Source organism: Homo sapiens, chromosome 6 (assembly GCF_000001405.40).
Source record: "Homo sapiens chromosome 6, GRCh38.p14 Primary Assembly".
NCBI classification, from domain to species: domain Eukaryota; kingdom Metazoa; phylum Chordata; class Mammalia; order Primates; family Hominidae; genus Homo; species Homo sapiens.
This window is the reverse complement of record NC_000006.12, coordinates 165,831,731-165,854,116: the sequence shown is the minus strand read 5'-3', so window position 1 is coordinate 165,854,116 and position 22,386 is coordinate 165,831,731. Positions and strand designations below refer to the sequence as shown.

At 45.1% G+C, this 22,386-nt stretch overlaps 1 protein-coding gene across 3 annotated transcripts in view, besides 2 other annotated features; it reads left to right on the top strand.

Annotated features, from left to right (window-relative positions):
* Positions 1–22,386, top strand: part of PDE10A (phosphodiesterase 10A) — a 660,764-nt gene that overhangs the window by 133,936 nt on the left and 504,442 nt on the right. The gene's annotated exons all lie outside the window — the stretch shown is intronic.
* Positions 10,041–11,020: an enhancer, noted in NCBI's record as "H3K4me1 hESC enhancer chr6:166256585-166257564 (GRCh37/hg19 assembly coordinates)". NCBI's record gives its function as "activates a minimal SCP1, AML or CMV promoter by ChIP-STARR-seq in primed H9 embryonic stem cells {active_cell/tissue: H9 hESC(primed)}" and the evidence as "EXISTENCE:reporter gene assay evidence [ECO:0000049][PMID:30033119]".
* Positions 11,021–12,001: an enhancer, noted in NCBI's record as "OCT4-NANOG-H3K4me1 hESC enhancer chr6:166255604-166256584 (GRCh37/hg19 assembly coordinates)". NCBI's record gives its function as "activates a minimal SCP1, AML or CMV promoter by ChIP-STARR-seq in naive and primed H9 embryonic stem cells {active_cell/tissue: H9 hESC(naive and primed)}" and the evidence as "EXISTENCE:reporter gene assay evidence [ECO:0000049][PMID:30033119]".

Genomic DNA, 22,386 nt, shown 5'->3' with positions numbered 1-22,386 from the left:
GCCCACGGGCTTCCCCCTGCCTGGGCTCTTCCCTAGGACCCCGCGCGTCTGTCTGGGTCCAGCGCAGCCTGCTCACCACCACGCCCCGCATCACGGCCTTGGCTTCCCACCAAAGCCTCTGCGTCTTCTAGCCCCCAGAGCCTCCCCGCCACCGTGGTGGCTCCCAGAGCCATCTGCGACCCAGGAGCAGTGCCTGGTTGCCTTCTCGGCGGTTGGGTGCTTGCACAGTTTCGGAGGACAGGTAGGAAAGCAGTTTGGGTGCAGACATTTCACTGTTTGACTGAAAGACCTAGTGCCCTATTCACAGAAATTTACTTTCTGAATGATTGCTACGTTCCTAAAAGTTATAGAAGGGCTATCAGAGTTACATTCATTGTTTTTTTCTGCTAAAATGTGGTTGATTGGGGAAGTTCGTTTTTTATGTCATTGTGTGTTATGTTCTATCACCTGTTAAATTAGCGAAGTCATTGGCATTGTGATTTCTTTACAATCACTAATTCACTGTAAAATGAATTAGTGGCACAAGGTGATTCCTTACAGGTGAAAGCAATCTTGGGATACGTATATGAACTCACTATAATATACAAAATAATATCCTGAATGGAAATCGTGAATGACTCTGATATAAAGATGAATGAGAACCTGCATACCAGGATGGTTTTGGACAAGTAGCTAAAAGCAGATGTGTTTTAATAGAAAATATAAATTTTTGAAACTGGATTTTCTTGATGATCTATTAATTCCTAGTCCTTAATGAGACTTTTCATCATCAAATCCTTTATGTAACTGGCATCCAAACACAGTGGCCTTCCAGACAAAGCAAGTGAATATTTCCAGAACAAACATAAAGTGATGTTTTCCAATGTGAAATGGCTAGTTTTACATGAAAAGAAAAGCAACCATGAGAACCTGAAAGGCACCATTCAATAGCAGAGGCCTCGTCCTCAATTGCAGAAGGAGGTACCCGCTCCGGGACTGTGGAGAAGTTGATAAACGCAGACTCCGGGTCGACAGCAGATACCGTGTTCAGAGAAGATGCAAAATGAGGGACTGGAAGAAATCTTCGTCACCTGCCTCTGTTGTGTTTCACACATGCAAACACAAAACATGTGGAAAAGCAGGTATGATCATCGGGCGTCCACTAGCAGGTATTTGATGAAGTCACAAATGTGCAGAGAACAAACCAGATCGCAGGAGGCAGAATGCGTTACCACGTCTGTTCCTTTGCCACTGCACACCTGTGTCTCAGAAGCAGGGGCGTTTGAATGTAATGAATGAGCCACGAGCTAGGATGGAGCTCAGAAAAATGTGTTAGATCAGGACCAGCTCATGTGCACAGAGAGAAAATTTGCCAGGAAGTCAGCAGCTGCAGCTGTATCTCACCCGCATGGAGCAGGGTTCATTGTACAGTGAAGTAATGCCACCAAGGCCGTCTCACCATCCCTCTCCATGACAAAACAGGAACCTTGCTCACAGTGTGCTTCTCCACATGGTGGGCTGGCAGTGGGAAAGGCAGTCCTACGACTCTGTTCACAGGAAGATTTAAAAATTGTTCTCATGACACAGATCATGCCAGAAAGGTCCATTTCTATGATTTCAAGTGATTTATCTCAGCAATTCATTCAGCATTTTGAATGGCTTAAGCTTACTAAGGATGAAACAACAAAAATGTTCACTTTGGGCTTCAATGAAGGCATCACAGATTTTTCAATAAGGCCAACCATCAGGCCTGAGATGATTTCCTTACTCACCAGCATTGAGGACATATGATTGGGTGTATTTTGAAACTACGTCCACATGCTGTCATGCACTTTAGATGTACTTTGCAAAGTCAGATTAGGAATCAACTTGCCACTGTCTTCTACATCAAACCATCCAACCTCAAGAACAGGAGCTGCTCATTGGCTGAGCACATGAAGGGCCTCACAGGCTTCTAAGAGAGCCTTCCAGCACCAGCTGGCCCCTACCAGAACTCAACTAGTGAGATGGGACTTTCTTCTTTCGTAGAAAAAAGAGAAAGGGGGGAAAGGCCATTGTGAAAACTGGCTTGGATTATGCACCAGCTGTTATTAAGCAGAATGTGGATTCTTGGGGAAATATTGCAGATGTTATTATTCCTCTTATTAATATGAATCTATTTTTCTCAATTCCTGTTATATATCTATATCTATACATATAGCTTTAATTTTTTAGAGATGGGGTTTCAGCATGTTGCCCAAGTTGGTCTTGAACTCTTGGCCTGAAGCAATCCTCCTACCTCAGCCTCCCAAAGTGCTGGGATTACAGGCATGAGCCACTGTGCCCAGCCTGTATTTTTTTTAATGTATACTTCATTATTCTCACTTTCAGAATACATCCAGGACATCCCTGACCCAAGGCTTTTGTTCACTTGCTTTTTCAATATGGACTACCCCACTCTCCCATTTCTGCCTGTTATTATCACAAAATCTGCAAGAACTAACTCAAATCTCACTTCCTGCATGATGAAGCTTTCCCCTTCCTGAACACCCAAAGTAATCTATTCAGAGGACCTACAATAGCCCACCTCGTACTGGAACGACTGAGGGATAACTAGACAGTAAAGTTTTATCAGGACTGGAAATACACCCTGTTAACCTTTGGCCCTTCCCAAAGCCTGGCACAGTGTCTAGCACGTAATATGTGCTCAGTTAATGCCTGGGATGGATGCCCAGTTGTAAAATATACATAGATGGGTAACTGGGAATGTTAAGGAAGGCCCCAGGTATCTTTTTCAAGTGGGCAGAACCATTTGGAGAACATTCAGAATAACAGCTGGTAACTGATGGAATCGAGTCAATTCCAAATCAATACATATGAAGCAGTTCAATTGCTTTTCTCTATATTGTGATGGGTCATCAGTGCAAATTTGTCCAAAACCTGAATAACTCTTTAAAGAATTTGATCACTGATGTGGCATTTGCATAGCAAGCCCCTGTTTGAATGTGTGATCATGATAATTATCTATATTAGGTAGAGATAGAGGCAGAAAGTTGTCTTACGTGTAAGCAGAAAGTTTTCTTTCAGCAGTCTATTTTCTCTTACTTGATTCTACCTGTTCCCTTCCTTTCTCTTCCTATACACGCAGGCAGAGTCTATGCTCTCAAGCACAGTAAGACTGTCTGATCGAAACTCCAGTGACTGATGAGGATAAACAACATAGATACTACTTTTGGTTTTTGCTTTTAAGTTACCTAGTGAGATGCCTGGATGCACTACAGAAAATTTAATGTCACCAAATATTTTTAATCATATTTCAATCTAAAAATAATCTTGATTCTTTAAAAAACATTTTAATTATTGAAAAATAAATTATTGAAATTAAATAAATTATGTGGTTGAAAAATCTTGAATATGCTTCTTAAGGGGAGTCTTTATGAAAAGAGCTGGACCATTCACGCCCTCTGTGAAGTTTAGGGAAGTCTGAGCGCTGCCTTCCCAGCCAGCCACTTCCCAGACTGGCCAGCAGAGGGCACCCAGCTGCCAGTGTCGCTCCTCGATCTCTTGTAAAACAGAATGGATCCTACTCTGAATTTATTTTGAGAACATATCATATTCGTAGGAAACAGCATATAACTAAAGGTAGTTTACCTTTATATGGTTTTACCGTGTGTGAGGGGTACAATATACTCCTCAGCTATTGATGATAAAATACCGTTGAAAGAATTCCTGGGGAACAAGAGGCTTAGCTTCTCCCTGATTTCTGTTCTACAAATGTGTTCCACGGACCCTGAGAGTCCCACGCACTTCCCGGGGGCTTCGAAGGTCAAAAATCTTTGCATAAAAATGCCAAGACGTTATTTGCCTCTTTTGCTGTGATGATATTTGCACGGATGATGTTAAGAGCACGTGGGGGCTGAAGCCTTGGCGCCTCCCGGAGTCCAGGTGGCGGCTCCATGGGGCGAGCTGTCAGCGCCTGGCCCAGCAGCCTGCTCTCGTAGGAGACACGGATCAGCACGGTTTCACACAGGAGTGTCCTTGGGGTAGCAGGAAGAGGATCGATTTTGTTAAATTTTGATGCTCGTGTATCTCTCTTCAAGATTCCGTGTGATTAAAGTACCCAGAAAGTACTTGGGCTGCTTATTGAAGCCTTGGGGAAGCGGGAAAATGATGGATTTTGTTAAACTTTGATGCTCATATGTCTCTCTTCAAGATTCCGTGTGATTAAAAGGGAAGTACCCAGAAAGTACGTGGGCTGCTTATTGAGTTGCAGAGATTGGGAGGAGAACACTTGTGCAACTTTTGAAGTGCAAGTTGAACCAGCCAATTTTTTTTTCCTAAAACACCATTTTTACTTGAAAGAACAACTGACAAACTGTAGTCATTCAGAAAAATCCCCGCCCCATCTGGCCACCGCTAGCTTGACTTGTTCAGAAGCAACCTGCTTCAAGGGCCCTGGGCCCCCGGCTCTCACAGCCTCCCCACTTCCTCTGAGCTCTCTGGCACCGAGATGGTGTGAAGTTGTTTCCTTGGCAGTAGAACTTAGAAGAAGAAATTGAATTGGGTTAGGCAGCGAATGGAATACATGAGGTGCGTTTTTCTCAAAATTGGAAAATGCTGAACCAGGAGACCCACATATGTCAGGAACAGAAGAGAACATATTTCCTAGTGGAGGGATAATTACTCCCAAGGGGCGGATGCCCCACCTGCCCCCTCACTGTTAACATTTGCCTGGCCGTCTTAGACATTTCAGTTGTAATCTCCTATTCCAACAACCCCCAAAAGCGGGATGGATGACACTGCAGAGACAGAAAAAGGTGGATTTAAACATGGGTTCGATAACAGCAATGTTTTTCATAGACTTAGGGCCTCATAAATAATATTCTCTTAAAACATTGTTTTACTAGTTCCGAATGTGTTATCTTTTTAATAAAATGTCTAAAGGCATCCTGTGTCATTACAACAGTAAAAAACATCTAGTAGATGAAACTCATTGCTAGGAGCAATAACAATAAAATAATAAAAATAGAAAATTTATGTATTAGAATTTCTGAGTTAAAATCAAAATGTGTTTTTCATGATTCATGATGTGTGCATTGGTCGAAGTGTGGCCTGGATAAAGGCGGTGGTATTTGTATTCCTCTCCTATTGCAGTGGTAACAAATCATCACAAACAGACACAGTTATCACCTTACAGTTCTGGAGGTCACAGGGCAGCAGTGCCTCTCACAGGCTGGCTCCTTCCAGAGACTCTGGGTGAGAATTCCTCACATCACAGATTCTCTCCTGCCCCACCTTGCCCTCATCAGATCCCGTGGGGCCCCCCTGGGAAAGGCAGGCTGACCCTTCCTCCCCCGGCCCTATCTTGAAGTCGCTGATTAACCAACCTTGATTCCCCCGGCCACTGTTCCTCTGGAACAGCAAGGTGACATCTTCATGGTTCTGGAAATTAGGACCTGGATACCCTTGGGGGGCCATTGTTCTGCCAACCTTGGGGCCATATGGGCTTGAGGCTTCCAGGAGGAGTGTATAGTGGAGCATCACCACCCTCCCCCAACAACTTTCATGCCAGGGCTGTTCTGTGGGCTGATTTTTCCCGCATGGTGTGTTTATTTCTTAAGCCTGACCCCAAGAAAAAAGGAATCCAATTAATAGCATATGGAATTTAATCAGGGGCCAAAGATCTATTGTCCAGAGCCACTTTGTACAAAGGCTGCCTTCTCTGGAAAACCTTCCCTAACAGCCCGACGTAAAGTGACAAGCCACTCCACGCCTCCTCTGCACGCACAGGCACTCCTGATGCCACCGCCCCGTGGAGCCCACCCTCCAAGTTACCCTCTGGTGACTGACTCCCCAAATGGCAGCTGTGTGGGGGACAGGGAATATGGCCCATGTTGCTCGCCATCCTGGTCCCAGTGCGCAGAACAATTCCCGCCACATAGGGGGCGCTCAGTAAGTGCTTGTAGAATGAATGCGTCAAGAACAAGAATGGGCTGCTTCTGTGGGTTGATTTTTCTGTGTGGTGTGTTTATTTTATTTCCCAAACTTGAACCTGAGAAAAAAAAAAATAGCTAGCATATGGAAATTTAATCAGTGGCTCTGGGCAAAACTCAATGTGGCAATATATGGCAGGCCATGGGATAAATAAACAGAATTTTTTGCTAACTGGCACTGTACATCCCTTCTGAAAGGTCCCTGAGACAGTAGCACATGTGACCTATGCTATTGAAATGCAAATTTCCATTGAATGCAATAATGTGTAACCCAAAGATCCAGTAAAATGAAAGCAGCATTTAGGTTCAGGGAAATTTGTTTACGCTCAAAAGCAATTCACATCTTAATGGTTCAGATTTAAGTTAACTTTGTTCTTATCTCTTTGAGAACTACACAAATCATTTAGTTCCCTTAACTGTTGCCAAAAACAAAAACCCAACCAACCCACAAACAAAAAAATCTGCTGGCTTACGCTATGGGAGTTGGCTTGCTTCAAAGCAAGACGTTATCAGAAATGACGTCAGAGGCAGGCCTGTGCGTTTGCAGAATTCAGCTCATTAGCATATGAGTGTTCTAAACTCTTGTTTAGATGATGGCCCCGTGGCCGACTCACCAGGTTACCTCCCTGCATGTTCGGTACATGCTTCTATGCTAACATGTTTGCAATCGTCTTGTAGATCGCTGTCACGCGAGGCAGTGAGTTTTGCCCACTTTGGCCGTGGAAGCGTTGTCTGTGTCCTGTGTTAAACAATGCAGAGAAATGTTCTTATTACACAGGTGTAGCTAATAAATCAGAAGCCATCAACTTTCAGTAACATATAGCCGCTTGCGTGAGCTTAATGACAGCCACCGTCAGCTTGCAGAATGTCTCTGCTCTTACAGTCACCCTGATTCTTGTTGAGAGCTCTGCCAAGCTCCCGGTACCCCTGCCTCTCTGTAAACCGCAACTCCTCAGGACTAACTCAGCCACCTCCTAGGAGCTAAAGGGTAGCCAGTGAATTTCAGCCTGTCTGGCTCTATCTGCTGTGATTAGGTGTGTATGGTAGAAGAGGAACATAATCAGTTACTTGGGAAAATGCCGTCAAAACAAGGGGCACTGGTGTTGGCAAAGTCTCCTGCCGCCTTCTGAAAATAAACACGCCCTAACGTGTGTCTTGCAGGAGTTGTCCCACCCAAAGGCCAGAGATTTCTGCCGCGGTATTTTCCATCTGTACCTAGTTGGAAAATCTTTCATAAGTAGAAACACCATGTACGGCACCTAAAAGGAATACTGAGAGCTTCGTGAGAGAAGCTGCAGTCCCTCAAATGAAGAGAACAGCTTTTTCAGGCGTCCGGGATTTCTTCCCCAGGAAAGGGAGAAAGGAAGGGACGCTAGCTCGGCTTCACTCCCACAGGGCTTGCGGCTCTCACTTCTCATCCAGTTTTGCTTTTATTTGGTTTCCAAATTGTTCATTTCAATTGCTCATATTTCCTCCTTCCACAAACCGCTTAAAGGAGAAACAGCTCTCCTTTTTCGGATTCCTCAGAGGATTGTCTGGCCTTCCTTTTTGAATTGAAAGTAGGTTCAGCAAAGGCTTGTGGACTGATGGTGCACACTGTGATGGGAAGGGCTGAGGGGATGCAAAGAAAAATGAAAGCACGCGGAGCCGCTAACTCTAACATCCTTCTTGGCCCCTGGCCTGAGGCTCACGCCGGCCTTCACACAGGGTGGTGCGGTAGCCCATGCTCTCTAGGATTGCGTGTTTGCCACTTGGGAGGATTTCTCTTTTAAGGACAATTTCCTCGGTGACACAACTTTATTTACTCACCGTAACTGCACTGCACCTCGGTACTTCCGATGGAGGGGGTGGAATGATAATTACAGGCTTCTCTGGAAACTTGGCAGGGCTTCCTGGGTCTATAAAGCACAAGGTGTGGCTCATGGCCCCTATTCCACAGGGCACAGCTGTCCCAGGCTTGTAGGTGAAATGACCGTATCTACTTTAAATGTCTGATCTGCATGGGGGCATTAACAGCTCTTGACCTGCAAGGCACGAAGAGTCCGTTTTCTGGTCGATCCCATAAGCATTGCCAAAAAGATGACAAAAATTGATTGTAGGCTGTCATGCATTCTGTAAACTGCCCTAAAGCATCAACCCGCCCCCATGCCTACTCCCCAAATTCAGACACCTTTTTTTCTTTCTTTACCCACTCTTAAAATCGCTGCATTATACAGACAAGGCAGTGGGTTTTTTCGTTTTGTTTTTTTATCATGGAGACATTCCTATTTAATTACTGAAAGTTTGGAGGTCTCATACCTAGGCATCGGTCAGATTTACAATCTTATTAAACGTACCAAAGAGAATATAATAAATCATGTACATATTTTGCAGATGTTGGCAGATTTATGCACCAAAGGAAGCTGTATGTCAAATGGTACAATTTAATGCTTGTTTCCTATGTTCAGTTGATTCCAGATAGCTTTAATATTTTCCTTATGAGGTTTCACAGCACATAAATAATGTCCCACAAGCAAGCTTTATGCTTAAAGGAGAAACACCACTCTCTTTGGCCTGACCGTAGCTGTTTCAACATATCCTCTAGATTCCAACAGAACTGATTAGCACTAGCACTGTTTTCCCACATAAGTGGGTTTTCCTCTCAATTCTTTCTCACTTTTGCTCAAATTTTACCTTCTTTTCCCCTGAGAATGTGGTTTGTGGAGTTCTGTCCTGTGAACTGCTCTCATTTAGAATTGCATGAACGCAGCCATCATAACCTTGACCTTCGACATTTTGGTGTAAATTGTAGAAAAACATGTAAGGATGCTATTTTTTTCCTTTCTATTCAGTTAGATTGCCATTTGTGATAATTTTTTAAGTAAAAACATTTGTTGCTAACCCCACATCACATGAATTTTAAATCTGTGACTCCCACTTTCATGTCTGGAGTTCACTGGAAGCTTGGTGGATCAGACCCTGTAACATTGAAACCGTTTTTCATCACACACATGCCCTGATCTCAGAAAGGAGCTTTGTTTCCAGCATAATGCAATGACCATCAGCTCTCATAGCCCATCAAGTAAACAATAAGAACGCTTTAAATCAGCAGAAGTTTTTATGTTCAGAATTATATCGCTTCTTTATAGAGCTCTTAAATAAGCTCCCTTGATGCTAATAAGCATAATGGCAGATACTTCCATAAATACAAAGCTGAGAATATACAGCAGTCTGTCAAAAAGTGTGTCCAAGGGTTAATAAGAATCGCCTTTTGTGTTTCTTTTGAAAGGAGCTACTTGGTCACAACACAGACAGGCAGGGACCTATGAATTATTATTTTAACCAGCTCCCAGGCAGGGTTTGTACTGAAGATTAGGACTTCTTCCTCTACCCAATGATGCTGGTATTATCATGCTGTTATTTCTTTAATATAATTCTTTTCAACCTCCTTAAATTATGATTAAAGAGTAAAAATAAGCATCGGGAAAAATAGTGAAAATAGGATAAAGTTTATTAGGTCAAAATGAATAAGGCTTAAAAACTATTTCTATTCCGACTTGGGGTTTTAAAACATATTGAACTTTTAAGTTAACTTTTATATAAAGAACTTAACATTCTAGAATTACAGTAACTCATAAGATATTTCCAAACTCAGGTTCAATTAGAGGGTGTTAAGTACTGCCTGTTCATTTTCGAAAACAGAGACTGGAGTGACTTAGAACACCTTAGGTGCTCCCTATTAAATTTCACCAATTATCAATTTGCATATTATGCAACACACTTTTCTCTGAAGCCTTCGAGATAAGTTTTCATGAGAAAGGCTCGCTGTGAGTGTGCTTACAGAACTTGAATCTGGACACGGAACAGGTCAGCTTTCCTCTGTCCTCGGTTCTGCTTCTCCTCTTTTCAATATTCTGAGGCCCTCTGACCTTAATAGTGACCTTGATGAGAATGACTTCCAACTCTACAGCCCAAACCATGGCCCCCTGCAGTGCTCCAGCCCCAGGGACAAATGGGCTTGTACCCTCCTCCAGGGGGATGATAGTTTCAGAAAATCTCACACTAAAACAAAAGTTGGCTTGGTCCCCTTTTCCAAAATACATCTCACCTGCGAGGTACCCCACACCTGCCTCCTTTGGGAGGCAGCTCCAGACTCGTCCCTTCTCACACAATGGTCTTCATTTCGGAACCTGTGCCGTGCTCTGGAGGCCTGTCTGCTAAGGTGGGGTCAGAGCTGCCTCTGCCAGAGGTGCTCCTGCTGCTCCAGGTGTGGGCTTCAGGCTCTCAGGTTAGCTCAGTGCCACCCACACAGGTCTCTCTTTAGGCACCGACTTGAGCCTTTGCTCCTCAGATAAAACCTTCAGTGACTGCCCTGCCCCTCCGGGATAGGCTCAGGCTTCCCTCTCTAGTATGGGTTTATTTTCTCTGCACCTGTCGCGCCAACATTCCCCTCTCTGCTGTGGCCTGAATGTGTCCCCCAAATTCATGTTGAAACCCAGTCCCCATTGTGGTGATAGGAAGAGGTGGGCCTTGGCGGGGTGATGAAGGCATGGGGGCTCTGCCCTCAGGGATGGGGTGGGTGTCCGTGGAAAGGAGGCTTCAGGGAGCCTGTCCGTCCCTTCTACCATTGAGGACGCAGCCAGCAGGCCTCATTTATGAGGAACAGGCCCTCATCAGACAGGCAGGGGCCCTGCTCTTGGACTTGTGGACTCCAGAACTGTCAGCAATACATTTCTGTTGTTTATAAATTACCGAGCCTAGGGTAGATTGTTGTAGCCGAGGTGATGGACTAAGCCACTCCCTCTTCCTGAAGGGAACTTGGCTCCTGCACTTGGGGAGGCTGGTGCATGCCTGTGTGTGTGTCTGCTCTGGGATGCCCTCTGCTGCGCTTCCACTCTGTCCAGAATCCACTCCACCTTTTCAGGGCCACCTTGCGAGCCTATAAGGCATCTTCACACCCCAGATTCTGTTGCTGTGCAGTCCTTTGCACTCACCCAACACCATGGCTTGTAGCCTTAGACGGGACCTGGGACCTGGTCTTCTCACCCTTGCTCAAAGTCACTTCCTTCTCAGGGGCTGGGCGCTGGCTGACCCTACGCTGTCAGGTGGGCTGAGCACAGCGGGGCCTCACAGTGTATTTGTGCTACGGCCTTCTTCACCTCTAAGAACAACCCACATTTGTGTGTCAGATCTTAATTTTCAAAGCTCTCTCTAATCTTCACAGCACTTTCAGGTAGACAAGGCAGATGTTGTGATTCCAGTTTTATTGAGGAAGTGGAATAAACTGTGCGAGGTTAGTCCGAGGCTAACTCAGGGTCAGGGCAGGAGCCAGAGAAGGGGGATGCTCTCATTCCAAGTCCGTTTTAACTGCAAGGTGTAGTCTGTAACTTCGGAGGCATGACTCTTGCCTCTTCCACCACTAACTTGCTGTGTGACTATCGGCAAGTTACTTCACCTCTCTGTGCTGGGTGAGATAGTGATGAGGATAAAAAGGACATGGTCTGGGCACAGTGCTTATGACCGTCCTTGGCCCACAATAAACGCTGATGTATTGCAGCAAACATCACTAAAACGAGCATGGAAAGCATCAACAGTCCCATACTCCCTTCGAGGAGGAGGCCTGGATGAATTTCCAAAGTGAGCTTGCATTCGCTCTCTGTTACTCATTTAACTCACTTGAAAAGTTACAGTCAGTGGGTGCTGGGCTGCTGCAGCATGCAAGGGAGCTGGATTTAAATATGAATGCCTACGTTTCTTTAGCATATGCAAAGGCCTAACTGCCAAGCTCCGTATAACAGTAATTACAGAACTGTTGAGGGACTCTAATGGGTACATTTGTGGCACTAAGTGGCTTATTTAATGGAAGTCATGCAGGTATATCACCAGCCTGGATGAAACTAGAGAGATCAACGCTGTTATCTGTAGCTCTGAATTACCCGGCTTTTGTCTGGTTGATTGATCATGACAATCTTAACATTAAAAAAAAATGTATAACATTATCTTTCAAGTTTTTAATATGTCAAAGACAAACCCATTAAGATTTTGTTTAGGTTAAGCTATCAAGTATACATAATTTTAGGGGGAAGAACCATGGTTATATTACACAATTCGCCTGGTTAGGTACATCTATAAAACCTTTTTCCAACTTGTACATATGTATTTTTCCTTTTTTGTATTCTATCAGAGTTTTTTTCTAAAGGAGCTCTGCAGAAGCGGGGAGTGTTGGGAAACAGCAATATTACTTAGCAGTTCAGGTTGAGCAAAAATCACAATAAAAATGAAAAGCTCCTGGCATAATTTACGTCATATTCATAGTTGAGATAACTGAAGCCCCACTCTGCTCTGGCCATTAAAATCTTCACCCAGAGAAGCTAGAGAGCAGTCTTTGAGCACGAAGTCACTCATTTATTCCAGAGCTGTCCTCTTCCTCTTGTGCAAGACATATGTAGCTTTCTTAGGCCGAGAAGCACTGTCACAGTGGACTTCTCCCCCATGGGGTCTTTTTCCTCCACCCCAGAGCCAGGATGACACTAGCAAGTGCCCACCAACCACAGTGACGACTTAAGGTTAGGGTTGTTTTGAACCCCCGGGATGGGAGACACAGCCTCCACATCAAACTGTTTTAACTGTTGAGAGAGCAAGCAGCTGTTGCTTTCTCACAGAGCTGGAGCTAACGTTAAGCGCCCACTGCTCAGAGCCAGCAATGGTGTGTGCGCTGGGAGACAGCGAAGGAGGCGGCTGCATGCCCAAGCTGGCCCCAACTGCAACATCCACACCAAGAAGCCAGCAAGCGAGAAAAACCCACCCTGGTCAGCAAAGGCCACAGGGCCGATCTCCATGGGCCCTTTGGAGCCATCTGGGAACAATGGGTCCATAAACTTTGGTGTGGCGAAGTGGGTACCCAGCAGGAGAAGGTGCTTTTGGGAGGGCCTGCCCTGTTCTCACCTCTGCCCTGAATCAATGTATCGATTTTCACCAGTGAGCTAGACAAACAAGATTAAACTGGGTTTTGCAATGATGACACTCCAAAAGTAGATTGAAAGTCAAAAGTAAATTGAAGAGACGACCATTCAAAGTCCTTAAATTAAATTAATTGACTGACACCTATTATGGACAAAGTACCATGCTGAGAGCTTGTCAACAAAGGTGAATAAAACCTGTTGGTTTTAAATTCAGTTAAAAATAACTGACATTTGAATCCTCTATTAAGAGACAATGTAGACAGATAATTTCCAAATTAAGTTCTAGAAGGGCCATCCCCAAAATGGGGTGCTGAGCCCCCAGGCATGTTCACGGACCCTTGCTGGGGAGTGAAAAGAAAATCTGAGAATATCTCTGAACAGTTATTTTTATATTACACTTATATTTCTAATTTTAGTGCACATTTATATTGCATGTAATATATTAGTATGTTGGTCCTTTACTTTATCTTTTACTAAAAAGTAGACAAAAAATAAGAGTGTGTTAAAATTCCTATATCAATAGAAATGGAGAGTCAAGGTAACCATTTCGAGTGCTGTGTCCTACAGTATGCTAGAACGGCAAGTGTGCACCTTGAAGACACACAGAGCTTCTCTGAGTCTTCCCACATTCATCTCCTGCAGTTTTGGTAGCTTGGGAGGTGGTGTAATTTGTGAGGTGAGCCAGCGCCTTCAAGTGCCCAGTCATGTGCAACTGCTGTTCTTAAGGGGACATCTGCTTTTTCTTATATGGTAATGACTACAAGTGATTGCTGAGGAAAGGGCAAGTAAGCAACATTTTAGGGAAAAATGGATCAGCTCTAGAATGGAGCAAAAGGAAATTCTTGCTAAGTAAAATTAAAAATGCATGATCTCCAATGCTCTTGTTGCTAAGAGGTAGTTTCTAAGCTCAAGACAAGGAAACCCGCTCCAGTTTGCCTGGACTGATTGCAGGTACCTGTGTGAGGGAGATAAGGATGGAGCTGGGGATGAAGACAGGCATGTAGATAAGGGTGGAGGTGGGGATGGGGATGGGATAAAGATGAGGATGGAAATTGGGATGAAGATTAAGATGGAAATTGAGATGAGCATGGGGATAGAGAGAGATGGGGATGAAGGTGGAGATGGGAATGGGGATGGGGATGAAGGTGGGGATGGAGATGAAGATGGAGATGGACATGGAGATGGAGATGGGAATGGGAATGGATGCAGATGAGGATGGAGATGGGATGGAGTTGGAGATGGGGATGGGGATGAAGACAGAGATGTAGATGGGGATGGAAATGAAGATAAGAATGGAGATGAGGTTGGGGATGGAGTTGGAGATGGGAATGGGGATGGAGACAGAGGTGCAGATGGGAATGGAGACAGGGATGGAGATGATAAGAATGGAGACGAGATTGGAGATGGGGATGGAGCTGGAGAAGGGGATGGGGATGGAGACAGATGCAGATGGGGATGGAGACAGGGATGAAGATGATAAGAATGAAGATGAGGTTTGAGATGGAGATGAGGATGAAGATAGAGATGGGGATGGAGATGGACACGGACATCAGGATGGAAATGGGGATGGCAGTGATGAGGATGGAGCAATTTAGAGAAATAGAGAGAGCCCTTGAACCAGGCTGAGGAAGCTATTTCAATTCCCACTGTGGACTTACGTAGAGAGCACTCTCATCTTTCGGAATTGTTTCTCCATAGGAATTGGGGACTGGAACTCTCCAGAAGTTGTAAATATGTTGTGTGGTCAGTCAATCTATTGGGAATAGAATTGGGAAAAAAAGAAATCTAATTTACATTTTAATGTAAGTTTCTTTTTACCAATTTCTTAAACATCTTGACCACTTGTTGAAGGGAAAATTTACAACTGTAGTCAATTTCTCATTAAAAGTTTGAGATAAATATGATAGTTCTTAAGGAATCGCTTTATAATTTATTGTGCAGCTGTAGTGATTATAATTCTTTGAGCACCTCTGCTGAAAGACACTATTTAAAGCGTAAAGTACTTTTGAATATTAACTCATCAATTCTATCAACACCCTTGTGAGGAAGGTGGGTGTCAAAATGACTCATTCAGGGTCACATTAGTAAGTTAGTGATAGAGTTTGGCGTACAGAAAAAGAGTTTCTGGACTTTTTAGAAATATTCCTTTCATTGAACTAGTCCTATCAAACCAGGAAAGGATTACTAACCCAGAAAATCCATGGACAGCCACAAATGTCATATATTTTCATTCATTCCATACACCAGTCACGGTTCCTGATTGCAAATCATAGAAACCAACTCAGCTAGCTGACAGTATCATGGAACGTCCTGGAAACCAGGCCCAGAAAATGGACAAGGGCAGAGGGAGGCTGGCCTTCAGATCACAGGTAGTGCCAGTTGCCAGTCTAGACTTTGGAAACCCTGGATGGAATGGAGCAGATAGCAGACATTCTGCCCTTTGACATTCGTCATTTGCAGATGAGGAGAGAAGAAGAAAAAGTTTCAGTGATTTGCCTGAGATCTCGCAGGTAGGAAGTCACAGCTGGAATTAATTAGAGCTCAGGTCTTCTAAACCCTCCCATCCAATGCAACAAAAATATTCCCTGAAGAAATACTTACCAAATTAAAACAAATTGTCTTGAAAGTAGTGGCTGCTCAGGGCTGGGGGAGGAGAAATGGGGAGTGGCTGAAAATGAGTACGGAATTTCTTTTGGAGCTGATGGAAATGTTTTGGAAGTAGATAGTGGTTATGGTTGCACAATCTTGAAAATATACTAAAAACCACTGGATTGTACATTTTAAAGGGTAAATTTTGTGGCTTGTAAATTATATCTCAATTTTTAAAAAGTGGAAAAATATTATGTCAATAAAAACCCTGAATTTGTCTTACATAAAGAAAAACAAAGGTCAAAAAAATCTTAGAAAACCCTAGTTTATATGTATTATTTCCCGGCTTCACTTTGTTTTGGCCAAAAGGCATTCCATTAATGTGGGCTTTTCAGTAACTACAGGAAATGGTGAATGGGATGGTATGATTTTAAAGTGAAAAGTTATTTCCCCAAAGGGTTTACGAGATGTTATAAATTGTGGGAAGGGAACGGAATTGTTTTATAATGTTACTCAAACCCTACAATTACAGTAGGTTTACATCATTTGCTCGCCTTTCTAGTTCACGGGCAGAAGGAAGCTTGTACGTTTCTAGTTCTCTAACTTCCTCTCTTTCCTGAGTTACTAGCAAGGCACTGCTTTTAAAAACAGGAGAGATATAGGTGGCTCACGCCTGTAACCCCAGCACTTTGGGAGGCCGAGGCAGGCGGATCACGAGGTCAGGAGATCGAGACCATCCTGGCTAACACGGTGAAACCCTGTCTCTACTAAAAATACAAAAAATTAGCCGGGTGTGGTGGCGGGCGCCTGTAGTCCCAGCTACTCAGGAGGCTGAGGCAGGAGAATGGCATGAACCTGGGAGGCGGAGCTTGCAGTGAGCCGAGATTGTGCCGCTGCACTCCAGCCTGGGCGACGGAGTGAGACTCTGTTCTCCCACCGCCTCCTGCCCCAAAAAAAAAAAAAAAAAAAAAAAAAACCAGGAGAGATATAAATCAGCAGATTACTTGGAGGAACTTAGGACTCCTTGAGTTAAACATCATTCACAATTAGTGAGGTGTAACCTAGATGAATCCATTTTTTCTAAAAGAACCTCTGGCAGCAAATGTTTACTTACATTTTTAAGCTAAAAACATGGGCAAAAGATTAAACATAGAGCCAACATAGTTTATGATGCAGCAGGTAAAGGAATGTTTGAAAGCAGAGAAAGGAAGAAAATTAATAAATGAAAAGGGAAAAAAAACTTACAGAGGAAAGAATAGACGATTTTAACTCTGCGGCCATACATGGCTATACCAATAATGTTGTCTCAGAATTGCAGCTTGAAGCATGTTAGTTATGTTCTTAGTTAGCATTATAATCTTGTTCTTTCTTACAGTATTTCATTTCTCTGGGCCTCTAATTTCCTGATTTGGAGTTTGTATTACTCTTTTTTTTTTATTATACTTTAAGTTTTAGGGTACATGTGCACAATGTGCAGGTTAGTTACATATGTATACATGTGCCATGCTGGTGTGCTGCACCCACTAACTCGTCATCTAGCATTAGGTATATCTCCCAGTGCTATCCCTCCCCCCTCCCCCCACCCCACAACAGTCCCCAGAGTGTGATGTTCCCCTTCCTGTGTCCATGTGATCTCATTGTTCAATTCCCACCTGTGAGTGAGAATACGCGGTGTTTGGTTTTTTTGTTCTTGCGATAGTTTACTGAGAATGATGATTTCCAATTTCATCCATGTCCCTACAAACGACATGAACTCATCATTTTTTATGGCTGCATAGTATTCCTTGGTGTATATGTGCCACATTTTCTTAATCCAGTCTATCATTGTTGGACATTTGGGTTGGAATTACTCTTAAGCTTTGGGGGAATTCAGAGGTACCATGGGAGGTGAGTTTTCCTATTCCCCTTCTGACCCCCCACTTTCAGCTCCAGGAGGACAGTGTGCCCTTGAGGGCTAAGCCAATCTGAACCTGTCATTTCTCAGCTTGGTCCCCAGATATCACTGACCGCAGAGGTCACTGCCCCGAGGCAGGATTCTCTGAATGACCCATCTGGAAGACAACCTGGTACATAGATAAATGCTAGCATGTGACTAATTATAAAGTAATCAATATTGTAAGACTTAATCAGAAGCAGAAAGAGCATGTTGTTTGGAATAGAAGAGCTGCCTGACCGCTGGAGTATCTGCAGATAGTCATGGAGGCCGAAGGGCTTGCCCCATGGGGTTAGCAGCTCAGAAAGACCCCTAAGAGGGGCTGTGCCGACGTGCGCCGGTCAGAACTTTTCAAAACGAACATAGTGGGCGCTAGACTCTTGTCACTCGGAAGAAAGGTAGAAGTACCCTCAAATGTTTCAGAAAATAGTTATTTGTTCAATGAGACTCGTGTGTAGGGTTGTGACATGGTCGGAAGAGGTCTGGTGTAGCCTTGGACGATCTACAGTCCCCTCTGAGTCTTGCTTCTCACCAGTCACAACAATGACAGCAAGCACAGAGCACCCATGGCTCGCCAGGAAACTTGGCTCCTACCAGCTCAGAAGACGGAGGCTTTGGACAGGCAGAGAAAACAGCGAAAGCGTTTTAGATTGGGCAAAATGTTTGAGCACTGTGACAAGATTGATGTTTTCCCCGATAGAAGGCCATGCTTCAGAAGAAGACAAGTTCAGCTGGGAGACAGCAGCTTGTCCAAAGAGGGGAGACAGCGTGGGGCGAGGCTGAACTAGAGCAAACTGCTAATACTGGAAGACTTTCTGACCCACAAAAATGATAATTTATCGTGGCTCAACTTACTCTGCCTGGCTTTGCCCTTCCTGGGTCCTGCTCAGCCCGTGCCTGCCCTAGGAAACGCTCCCCCTCCTCCTGTACGCTGCTGGCTGTGCCAAGGCCGTTCTGAGCTGGAGCCCAGCTCCAGGGACTCCCTGTTCTCCAGGTGCATTGGCGGGAGCTCCGGTCTCTCAGCCCTGCAGGGTCCTCTCACACCAACCCCGGAAACAGGGTGTAAGGAAACTGCCCCAACTGCAAAGCCCTCCCTGGAAGGGCTGTGAGACATCAGCCCCAATCCTACAAGGAGGCTTCCCTGGGGGCTCTGTGGGCGTCCACGAGCTTAGACCAGCAGGGAGGAAGGAAGCTCGTGCAGCAGAGCTGGCGAGCACAGGAGGCGTGGGCAGTGCTGTCCTCGCCTTGGCCTCAGGAGCAGAATGCACCCTGGATGCCAGTGGCCTGAGGGAGAAAGATCAGGATATAAAGGAAAATTGTTGGACAGTGACCAGCGGAATGGGCCCAGGGCAGCCTGGGATGGCACATCTGCCAAAGCCCATCCGTATAAAGGAATATCCCAAGACATTTGAGTGAGAAAGTGAGGCAGGAGCAAAGAAAAATAAATTTGTTTCAAAGCCTCAATTTTATCATTGTTAAAATATCATAAATTGCAGGTCTCTGGGGCTGGAGGTATGGGAGTTACCCATCAGGATCCAGCCTTGTGATGACCTGCAGTTTCTGACACATCCGAGGACGGCCCTTCCCCACCTCTCTCTGCACTGTGTCCTCGCCAACTGCCCTCTGTGCACTGCCTCCCGCTGAATGACTTCTGCAGCCCACACGTGCTCCGAAAAGCTGGACTCTGACTTGGTCAGCATCTGCCAACACCCCTGGCCCCTGAGCTCCCAAGCCCTGGCTAGGCCTCTCCACCTGGAGCCCTGGCTCCTAACCCTGCTGGTGCACTGAGCCGAAGGAAGCTAACTCCTCTCACTTCTGCATCCCCAGCTCTGCCGTAGGAGTTTGTAGGAACTGGTACTTGTCATGGCTCCACGTGGCTGCCTTCCCTGCCAGCTGGCACAATGCCTGGCCACTCTTCAAACATCCCCTGTTGACTCTGTCTCTGTCTAGATGTGAGTCTCTGGATGGCAGCCACTCTTGTTCACCTGGAGTCGCTGCCTCCAGAACAGAGCCAAGACCAGCCACGTGGTGCTGAATAGGGGAGGGATCCATTGTGCTGAGGAGAAGTTTTGTGGCAGAGCAAGGCAAATAGTTGCTCTTGGTCCTGTGGCTTGTGAAAAGAAGTTGAGCTGGGATTCCAGATCTGTGCCTTCCAAGCCCCTGCTGCTCTTCACCATTTGAAATGTTTGTTCCACTAAACTGAACACACCTGGGCTCTGATCGTCTCACTCCCCCCACTCCCAGGCGGGAAGGATACAAAAGACAGGGGCACCAGCTCAGCCACCCGGCCACTAGCCAGCGTCACCCCCAGGCTGCACAGACTTAGATTTCTCCTCTGTGCTTGCTTCAGGGGTGCTGTGTAGAGTAGAAAGGGCTGGGACTGCCAGTTTGGAAAGTGTGGCTTCCAGTCCTGGCAATACAAACAGTGATTGTTAGTCTACCCAGCATCTGGTGAGTCCCACTGCATTTCTGGACCTGAGTGTCACCTGGGTACCTGGCCCCAACTGGTTGAGGAGTCTGCAGGGCAGGTGTTCTGCCTGGGTAACTGGGGAGGGCTCCATGTGGTCCCAGGTGTTGCCACACCTACATATGAAGTCCCTAAGCTCCTTCCAGCTCACCCTCCGTGAGCCCCTCGCAAGTGGGACAAAGCACTTATTCCTTATCTATTCAGTCACTCCAGTGGCTACATTGTCCTCTCTAGTATGTGCTGCTGGGGGCACTCACATGACTAGGTCTCCAGAGACTGTGTTCTAGGCAGACTGCTGTGAATTACCTGATCTTAGCAGGAAGACATTGGAATCAGGTCTCGGCTAGACCTTTTGGCTGATGGCATTTCCTCCACGTGACTTCAGCTCCTGCTTTGGGACCACCTTCATCTCATGCCTGCACCTTTCCTACCTGATCTTTATCAACTCTTACCTGGAATGGAAGTCAGAACCTTCCCAGGGCTGGTCTTTCCTGCCATTGCCAATCCAGGTGTGCATGATCAAATGGGACAAGAACATCTCGAGAAGAATTGCTGCCCCTGGCTGTGCTCAGCCTGGTTGGCAGAGCAGCTGCTCCCTCCAGGAACTTGGGCCCCCCTCATGCTGAAGGAACTGCTTGATGGGCTCTGGGGCACTGCCTGCTCCTCCAGCCCTCAGCTGGCTGCCTGCTACGCCCTGGGGCATGCACAGGTGGTGTCACTTCTTGCTGAATCCAGCACCTGGGAGAAGTTCTTTGCCTGAGGCCCTGGAAGGGTCCATTGTCTTCCATGCCTGCAAAGGGCAGGTGCCTCCTCTGCGTCCTCTCTGTATTTCCCACCCAGGGTATGAGATTAGCCTTCCCACCTCACTACACCTAGAACAGTAGGGACTTAATGAAGATAAATGTGTTCACGTTTGTATATTACAGTTTATCCAGGCTGGTGAATCATAATTGAGGCTGGACAAATTGCCTCTAGCTCCTTGTCAAGGACCTCTGAACGCCATACAATAAAGAGAAAAAAACCTCCTGTATTTCTTTCAAAGATCACTTGAATTTCATTGTGTAGTGTCCTGAGAAGAGAAGCCACAGGGACATCCATGAATGTCATTTTATAAACTGAAAATCCTATAACCAAATAGGAGAATAAAGATGTTATAGGACTGTAAAAATAAGAATGAGCAGATTATTCGAATCGGTTACGATTCTTGATGGTGTTAATTGTTTTTCCAGCTCAGAATAGCTCACACAGGTGATGGGTACATGGCACCCTCACTCTGACATTAGACATGGACCAGGCAGGGCTGGTATCGTGCCTTATGAAAGAGTCCTCGCCAACCTCAGTATTGTGAATTTAAATTCTGCAGGGAGGAGTTAACCCGGAATATGTGAGGGGTGAAGACCGTGTTTTCTCACCACAAAATGTCTCCAACACATTCTGCCAATTAAACTCTGTCAAACCCAGAAAAGCCTCTTGAAATGTAAACTTCCCACCTTAACCAGAATTAAGTGTATCAGTCATTGCCAGTGACATTTTTAAAACTTTGTTCCTGTTTCCTAGCTGGGCTCATCCACACCGAGGAAACGGCTTTGATGAAGAGTGGGTGGGAACGCTGATACTGCGGGTTGTTTAGGGCCACGGAGAAGGCAGCGGAGCTCGAAGCTGGGTTCCTGGGGTTGGCTGAGAAGCCAGAGGCCCAGAGGAGCAGAAGTGCCCTCCTGACAAATGTGCTTCCATTCTGTCTAAAATGAGGTCCCCACTCAATGTGCTTCCAAAAATCCTAAGTAAAAGAAAAACACACACCAATTTTTTTTTTTAAATCAGGATTCTAAGTCCAGCTCCATAAATCATCTACTTTATAAACTTCGACAAGGTAGTTAACCTCTTGGAGTCAAAGTTTCCTCTTAGGTTAAATTAAGCGGTTGAATGAGAGCGGCTGTTTCGTTCCTTCCTCCAGAACGTTCCTCTCCGCCTCCCACCACCACTTCTGTCTCCCACCGAGGAAGCTGCAGTTGCTTGTGACAGGAACTAAGTATTTTCCATTTGGACTTTAAACATACATATAAGTTATATATAAAATATTTATATGTATACATATATTCTAAAACAAAATACTAGAGACTTTCCTAGGGTGTAAACTAAAGATACTGAAAAATACATTCACTTTTGTAACTTCCATGATGTCTCATTGTAACAGTCCTTTGATGTCTCTTCTGACTTCCTGTTGGCCTTGTAGTTGGAGGTTTCTGTGGTTTTTTTGTTTGTTTGCATTTGTCTTTAAGTAAAAACACAAAAACAAAACAATAGGACATCTGGAGGAGTAGAAGACGTAAGGGGGAGAATTGAGAAGCACAAAAGAAAGGCAGAATATGAAGTGTTAGTAAGTATCCAAGAAAACAGTATTAAAAAGGCAGGGGGGAGAGTGGAGTCTTTTACTAAGGAAATGATTCCTGCGGCCGGGTGCAGTGGCTCACACCTGTAATCCCAGCACTTTGGGAGGCCGAGGTG